Consider the following 9,241-nt stretch of genomic DNA (forward strand, 5'->3'; position numbering starts at 1 on the left):
ATTAGCATAAATCTACTTGATTGCACAGACATTCTACCCTGGAAGAAAATACATGTCCTGCCCCCACTCCCATGGGATTCAAAGCTATTTTCACCTGGAAAGAAAATAAATGCAGCCCGTAAGCATATTTTTCCCTAAATTGGCTCTTGTGGGGGAAAATTAAGTTTGCTCACCATTAATATAGAAACTTCTAGAAGGTACAAGAGGTTCTGATTTGAGCAGTATGGTTTCTCATTAGCCAAAGACCCCATAGATGCCTATGAAGAAAACTGGGAAGAATAATTGAAGAAGAAAACAAAATAACCAGATGGGATGCTCCCAGGGGTCCCTGGAGGAGGCACTTTGGAAGTGGTTTCTAAACACTGGGTTGGTCCCCAGACCTCATAATCCTTGAGGATTTTGTCTGGTCAAAATGATGCAGAAGGAGAGATTGAGACAACAGAGTAAGATTTTCATAAGACTGAATTTGCTCTATTTAAACAACTATCCTATGAGATTATATACCTTTGGATCTTTTTAAAAGAATTTTTTACAGAGATGGGGTCTCACTATATTGGCCAGGCTAGTCTCGAACTCCTGGCCTCAAGTGATCTGCCCACCTCCACCTCCCAAAGTGCTGGGATTACAGACGTAAGCCACCACGCCTGGCCTCCTTGGACTCTTTTGAAATTCAAATGTCTTTCCTTATATGAAATGACGGTGATAGTTGTGGTTTGTTTGTTTGTTTGTTTGTTTTGAGACAGAGTCTCCCTCTGTTGCCCAGGCTGGAGTGCAGCAGCGAGATCTTGGCTCACTGCAACCTCTGCCTCCCAGGTTCAAGCGATTCTCCTGCCTCAGCCTCCCGAGCAGCTGGGATTGCAGGCGCGTGCCACCACACCTGGCTAATTTTTGTATTTTTAGTAGAGACAGGGTTTCACCATGTTGGTCAGGCTGGTCTCGAACTCCTGACCTGGTGATCTGCCCGCCTTGGCATCCCCAAGTGCTGGGATTACAGGCGTGAGCCACCGCGCCCGGCCTGTTTGTTTTTTAATTCCCTAACTTGGCACAACAAAAAGTTGGCAAACCAAATTGGTTCCTTTTTTTGTTTGTTTCTTTGTTTTTGATTTTGATTCAGCGTCTCACTCTGTTGCACAGGCTGCAGTGCAGTGGCGCAATCTCAGCTCACTGCAACCTCTGCCTCCCGGGTTCAAGCCATTCTCCTGTCTCAGCCTCCCAAGGAGTAGCAGGGACTACAGGCACATGCCACCACACCCAGCTAATTTTTGTATTTTTAGTAGAGATGGGGTTTCTCCATGTTGGTCAGGCTGGTCTCGAACTCCTGACCTCAGGTGATCCACCCACCTTGGTCTCCCAAAGTGCTAGGATTACAGGCATGAGCCACCGCGCCGGGCCAGGTCCTGTTTTTTGAAAAAGTGTATCAGTTTGTGAAATTTGAGATATCTGAGAGCAGCTCATCTATGGCATCTCAGTAAATGTTGGATTCCAAATGAGGCAAGCTGGAATGGGGCCCCTAGTGTTCACTGACACAGCAAACGTAGGGTCAGCAAACGACAGGGTGGAGCAGAGAGGACAGACATGTGTTTATTTTCTGTAGCTAAAGGACTTGACAAGTCAAAGAATCCCTGGCCATTAAAATCCAAGGAGTAAATATACCAACTCATGTACCTTACACTGATACAAGCTGTTCACTGATCTGAGTGCCCAGGGAGGGTTCATTCCCTGCATGTGGATTTGGGGAGAGATTCTCTTCTCCTCAGGGCCCAGGGACTGCCTTTTCCAGAACTGGCCATCACAATTTGCCCATCTCTCTTGGCAAAGAAGGACCTCCTTGGTCTGCTTGTCCAGGCAGGGCCTCCACAGACACTCCCCTGCCCTCACATGGTCTCCCCTCCTCTTGCTTCCTGCCCTGGCCTGGGTAGACTGGCCGTGCTGGGAGGAAAGGTGGCCCCTCATCATCTCCCCTACCCACTGTCCTGGGCCGTGGCCTCCATGTCCCACACTGTCCCACCCTCCACTCAATTGTCATGGCAAGAGAGTAAGTGAGGATGAAAATATGCAAAATTGGCCGGGCGTGGTGGCTCAGGCCTATAATCCCAGCACTTTGGGAGGCCGAGGCAGGTGGATCACTTGAGGTCAGGAGTTCGAGACCAGCCTGGCCAACATGGTGAAATCCTGTCTCTACTAAAAATACAAAAATTAGCCGGGCATGGTGGTGGCCGCTTGTAATCCCAGCTACTCGGGAGGCTGAAGCAGGAGAATCGCTTGAACCCGGGAGGTGGAGGTTGCAGTGAGCCAAGATTGCGCCACTGTACTTCAGCCTGGGAGACAGAGTAAAACTCTGTCTCAAAAGAAAAAAAAAAAAGAAAATATGCAGGATCACATTTGCTTCCCCACGCCCTTCCACTGCCCAGCATTTCCTACTGTCTTTGCCTTGTCCATCCTCTCATCATGGCGGCAGCCAGGCCAGTCTTGTTCTTTGCCTTGGGGATGTATTAGCAGAAAGTAGAGGAAAAGGGGCTGCTTCTAGCATCCAAGTTTTAAAGGGCCTGGCCCCTGAGAGGCAACAAAATAACTCCAAGTGGACCCTTGATTTGAGGCAACACCTGGTGAGTCCGGGCATGTGGACCCTTTTCTGGTGCAGGCACGTGGACCATCTCTCTTGGACCAGAAAAAGGTCCATGTGCCCAGACTCACAAGGGAGTAAAAGGGTGAGGGAAGGTATGCAGGCCCAGAACAACTGCTCACAGCCCAGCTGGCAGAGGGTGCTAGACCCAGAGGGGCCTGCAGATGAGGGCCAGACACAGCTGCAAAGGCGCGCGTGCGTCCTTCACAGTTGCCAACAGGTGGAAACAGCCCAGGCATCCATGAACAGATGAACGGGTAAACAGAATGGGGCCTATCCATACAATGGAATATGACTCAGCAATGAAAAGGAAGGAAGCGCTGACGCGTGCTGCAACATGGATGAACTTTGAAAACAGGCTGAGTGAAAGAAGCCAGATACAGGAGGCCATGGTCGCACGATTCTATTGATATAAAACATCCAGAATAGGCAAATCCATAGAGATGGAAAGCAGATTAGTGGCTGCCAGGGGCTGAGAGAGGGGAGAAGGGGAAGTGACTGCTAATGGGCAGGGGTTTCTTTTTTTTTGGAGAAAGGAAAATGTTCTGGAACTAGATAGTGATGATAGTTGCACAAGATTATGAATGCACTAAATGCTACAAATTGCACACCTTAAAATGGTTACAATGGTAAATTTTATGGTATGTATATTTTACCACAATAAAAAAAACTTTTGGCCGGTGAGCTGGCTCACACCTGTAATCCCAGCACTTTCCGAGGCCGAGGTGGGTGGATTGCTTGAGGTCAGGAGTTCGAGACCAGCTTGGCCAACATGGCGAAACCCCATCTCTACTAAAAATACAAAAACTTAGCCGAGTGTGGTGGCGTGTGCCTGTAGTCCCAGTTACTCAGGAGGCTGAGGCAGGAGAATCACTAGAGCCCGGGAGGCAGAGGTTGTAGTGAGCCGAGATGGCACCACTTCACTCCAGCCTGGGCAACAGAGCAAGACTCCATCTCAAAAAAAAGAAAGAAAGAAAGAAAAAACTTTTAATGGTGAACATGGTTAATTATATATGTATTTTACCACAATAAATTAAAAAAAAATTTTTTTTTTGAGACAGGATCTCGTTCTGTCACCCAGGCTGGAGTGCAGTGGTAGTGCAATCTCAGTTCATTGCAACCTCTGCCCCTGGGCCTCAAGCAATCCTCCCATCTCAGCCTCCCGAGTAGCTGGGATTACAGATGTGCGCCACTATGCCCTGCTAAATTTTTTTGTATTTTTTGTAGAGACAGGGTTTTACCATGTTGCCCAGGCTGGTCTCAATCTCCTGAGCTCAAGCAATCTGATTCGCCTGCCTTGGCTTCCCAAAGTGCTGGGATCATAAGTGTGTACAATTAAATTATTATTGACTATAGTCACCCTGTTGTGCTATCAAATACTAGATCTTATTTATTCTGTAAATACTAGATGCTATTCTATTTTTTTGTACCCATTAACAATCCGCACCCACTCCCACTACCTTTCCCAGTCTCTGGCAAGCGTCCTACACTCTACACAATAAATTTTTAATTTAAAAAAAATTTATTTTTTATTTTTTGGTAGAGATAGGTTCTCTCTATGTTGCCCAGGCTGGTCTTGAATTCCTGGCTTCAAGCTATCCTCCTGCCTCAGCCTCCTAAAGTGCTGGGATTACATGCATGAGCCACTGAGCCCAGCCTCAATAAATGTTTTTGTTTGTTTGTTTGTTTGTTTTTTGAGATGGAGTCTCGCTCTGTTGCCCAGGCTGGAGTGCAGTGGTGCGATCTTGGCTCACTGCAACCTCCACCTCCCAGGTTCAAGTGATTCTCCTGCCTCAGCCTCTCAAGTAGCTGGGATTAAAGGCGCTGCCACCATGTCCGGCTAATCTTTGTATTTTTAGTAGAGATGGGATTTCACCATGTTGGCCAGGCTGGTCTCGAACTTCTGACCTCAAGTGATCCACCTGCCTTGGCCTCCCAAAGTGCTGGGATTACAGGCATGAGCCACCACGCCCAGCCGCCTCAAATTTTTAAAAAAACATGTGCCTTCCCCTGCACGTTGCTCCAGGGACGTGCACACACACCCTCTGCCTGGCACACCACAGCTGACAAGGGCTGACAATAGTCAATTTCATCAGAGTGCTTTTCTCACCTAGATCCTTCCTTTCTGCCTCCTCACCACACCCCTTTACCCACAAACAGTGGGAGGGGAGCCCTGGACACTCTCAGCTTCCTCCTGCCCCTGAGTTCCAGCGATCAAAGATAAAATTGAAAACATTAGCTATGCCCACTGCTCCCTGGTGGAAGGCAGCCACCTTCTGAGGAGGTCCCATGGGAGAGTGAGTCCCCTCCCCGTGCATAACCCGACCCCCAAATTGGGGGCTCTTCAGACCTCATCAGATCCTGCACAGGCCCCCCAGGATAGGTGCTTGGGGTGCAGCAGCTGGCCAAGGCGCTGTGCCTTGTTGTCTAGGTGGTGTGCCCACCCGGGCTCCCGGTCCCGCCTGGTCACAAGCATCCCCGCGTCAGCTGATGAACACCCCTGTCCAGCAGGTGCCAGACACCCGAAATCAAGAGGAGTGTCCTGTGCTCCAGGAGCCTGAGAGGTGGCAAAGTCCCCGGGGGGAGGCGTGATGGTAGGGAAGGCTTCTGACATACCTCTGCAGGGGCCAGGGCCCTGAGTCCCGGGTCCCCATGGTGTGTTTCTGTGTGAAGTCAGTGGCACTGCCAGCGCCGTGGTCATATTACCTAGGCCACAGCTGCCAGGCCTGCAAGCTCTTTCCTACTTCCCTTAGGTGCCCAGACCCAAAGTCAAGAGGACCTTGACCCGTGGGGGTCGTGGGGAATGAAAACCGTCCTGCGAACTTGAACTTCACTAGGGAGGCGGCGCTCTCTCTGCCCCGGTTCTATCACGCGCATCCGTTAGGAACTAAGCGGCACCTGCGCGAGGCTAGGCTTGTTGACATATTTCTTGCTGGCGGCGTCCTCTCGCGTGGAGCACGACTGCGCAAAGCGCCGACAGTCCCCCGAGCGAGGACGGCAGCGAGACTCCGAAGCCCCCTTAGCAACCAAGCCGGTGCCGCTGCCCTTGCGCCGGGACTGCAGCCGGGTCTTCCGAAGTGAGGATATGCTGCCCTCTAGAGGCCGCGGGGTGACATGGCCCATGAGGCTGTCTGGGCAGGGTGGGTTCGGGTGGGAGGAACCAAGGTGGACAAGCCTCGAAGTAAGAGATCTGTTCAAGGTCACAGGGAGTCGGGACTCATGCGGAGGCACAGATCCAAGCTCTCTGTACTGGGCCCTTTGGTATTCTGTTGGCTCCTATTTTTTTGTTTGTTTGTTTTTTGTTTTTTGTTTTAGATGGAATCTCTGTAGCCCAGGCTGGAGGGCAGTGGCGCGATCTCGGCTCACCACAACCTCCACTGCTGGGATCAAGCGATTCTCCTGCCTCAGCCTCCCGAGTAGCGGGGATTACAGGCGTGCGCCACCATGCTGGCTAAATTTTGTATTTCTTAGCTTTTTTTAAGCTTTTTTTTTTTTTTTTTTTGAGATGGGGTTTCGCTCTTGTTGCCTAGGCTAAAGTGCAGTGGCGTGATCTTGGCTCACTGCGACCTCCACCTCCAGGGTTCAAGAGATTCTCCTGCCTCAGCCTCCCGAGTAGCTGGGATTACAGGCGCGTGCCACCATGCCTGGCTAATTTTTTGTAGTTTTACTAGAGATGGGGTTTCACCATGTTTGGTAGAGATGGGGTTTCACCATGGTCTCAAACTCCTGACCTCAGGTGATCTGCCCACCTCGGCTTTCCAAAGTGTTGGGATTACAGGCATGAGCCACCGTGCCCTGCTGCCCCTGTTATTTATTTATTTATTTATTTATTTATTTTTAGATGGGATTTCACTCCTGTTGCCCAGGCTGGAGTACAATGGTGCGATCTCAGCTCACCGCAACCTCTGCCTCCTGGGTTCAAGCGACTCTCCTGCCTCAGCCTCCCGAGTAGCTGGGATTACAGGCACGTGCCACCACATCCGGCTAATTTTGTATTTTTAGTAGAGACGGGGTTTCATCATGTTGGTCAGGCTGGTCTCAAACTCCCAACCTCAGGTGATCCACCCGCTTCAGCCTCCCAAAGTGCTGGGATTACAGGCGTGACGACCGTGCCTGGCCCTGCCCCCTTTTTTTAAAAAGAAAACAATCCGGCTGAGCGCTGTGGCTCATGCCTGTAATCCCAGCACTTTGGGAGGCCGAGGCGGGCAGATCACCCGAGGTCGGGAGTTCGAGACCAGCCTGATTAACATGGAGAAAGCCCGTCTCTACTAAAAAATACAAAAATTAGCCGGGCGTGGTGGTGCATGCCTGTAATCCCAGCTACTCGGAGGCTGAGGCAGGAGAATCGCTTGAACCCGGGAGGCAGAGGTTGCGGCGAGCCGAGATCGTGCCATTGCGCTCCAGCCTGGGCAACAAGAGCGAACCTCTGTCTCAAAAAAAAAAAAAAAAAAAAAAAAAATCTCATTTCTGTAATCCCAGCACTTTGGGAGGCTGAGGTGGGCGGATCACTTGAAGCCAGGAGTTTGAGACCAGCCTAGCCAACATGGTAAAACCGGTCTCTATTAAAAATACAAACTTAGCCAGGTGCGGTGGCGAGTGCCTGTAATCCCAGGTACTTGGGAGCCTGAGGCAGAAGAATCCCTTGAGCCCAGGAGGCGGGGGCTGCAATGAGCCAAGATCATGCCACTGCCCTCCAGCCTGGGCAACAGAGTGAGACTCTCTCAAAAAACAAACAAAAAACCCTCTCACACACTCATACATACACAGAACTCATGAAGCTTAACCCTCAGAGCCCCTCATTTGCAGAAGACTCTTCGGGGCCTTTAAAATGGGATACGTTTCACATAGAGTTTTCACATATGTTTTCACATATAGTTTTCACATATGTTTTCACATATAGTTTTCACATATAGTTTTCACATATGTTTTCACATATAGTTATTATTGGCCATCCTGGGGTAGGAATGACTTCCAGGAATGATTTGACCTGCCCACCTGGCCTCATGATACTATGCACTATAGCAGCTGGGACTGGGCTGGTGGAGGAGCAGCAAGGTTTGGAATGTACAGAGCCAGACGTTAATCCATGGAAAATTCTTCCAACCATCAAACATGAAAACTTGTAAGCAGATCAAAATGAAAGTTTTTCCTCTTAAGAATATAATCAGGCTATGCGTGGTGGCTTACGCGTGTAATCCCAGCACTTTGGGAGGATGAGGCAGGAGGATCTCTTGAGCTTAGGAGTTTGAGACCAGCCTGGGCAATGTAGGAAGACCCTATCCCTAAAAAAAAAAATTAAAAAATCAGCCAGGTGTGGCGGCGCATACCTGTAGTCCTGGCTACTGGGGAGGCTGAGGTGGGAGGATCACTTGAGCCCAGGAAGTCAAGTCTGCAGTGAGCCATGATTGCACCACTGCACTCCAACCTGGGTGACAGAGTGAGTGAGACCCAGTCTCAAAGAAGAAGAAGAAGAAAAAAAGAAAAAAAAAAATATATATATATTCAATAATGCAGTAATATAATTGCAAACTCACTATATGATGAAAATATTTTTCAAATATTTCTATATATAACCTATAGAAACTATTCTGACATCTGAGAAGTAAATTGTACCAAAATATTTTTTCAGATCATACCAAAAGAGGAAGAGATAAATTTTGAATAGAGGTAATATATGGGCTCTTAGATTATTAAATAATCTACTTAATAAAATAAGTGAAATACATGAACACAGCAGGAAAACATTTACATTTTGTGCAGATTTGACTAAAATACTGTCATTGATAAAGATAACATAAATCTCATAATAGACTAGACCTCTACAGCAAGAATTGGAGGTCAAATTGGTCCATGAGTATTGCCAATTTAGAGTATTTAAGGTTAGTTCCTGAACATGAAACCTTGATATACCCTGAAAACTTACCGCTTTTATATGAAAGAAACTTGATAGAGGTTTTCCCAAATTTGACAACAATCCTAAAAATGTGCACAGAATTATTAATTATGAAAATGTAAAGCTGACATTTTTCTAAACTATCAGTAATGAAAACCAAATTTCTATCAACCATGTTAGAACAAAAACTGAACGATCTAACTATCTTTATTTATTTATTTATTTTTTTTTTTTGAGACGGAGTCTGGCTCCGTCACCCAGGCTGGAGGGCAGTGGCACTGTCTCAGCTCACTGCAACCTCCGCCTCCTGGATTCAAGCGATTCTCCTGCCTCAGCCTCCCGAGTAGCTGGGACTACAGATATGCGCCACCTCCTATGCCCGGCTAATTTTCGTATTATTAGTAGAGATGGGGTTTCACCATGTTGGCTAGGCTGGTCTCAAACTCCTGACCTCAGGTGATCCACCTGCCTCGGCCTCCCAAAGTGCTGGGATTACAGGCGTGAGCCACCACGCCCAGCCAAAAACTGAATTATCTTTCTATCCTCTCCCTAGAAAATATTATAAAGTTGCGGCCACACGAAAAGGTGATCAAAGAGTATGCAGTCAAAAATTACAGGGGGAAAAAGGGCCATTGAGGTTTGTTAAGCAGTTAACAAAACTTTGTTAGTTTTCTGAATTATATGAAATTTGAGGTATTTCTCAGCTTTGAAAACATTGTGAATTG

The sequence above is a fragment of the Homo sapiens genome, chromosome X (genome assembly GCF_000001405.40).
Source record: "Homo sapiens chromosome X, GRCh38.p14 Primary Assembly".
NCBI classification, from domain to species: Eukaryota; Metazoa; Chordata; class Mammalia; order Primates; family Hominidae; genus Homo; species Homo sapiens.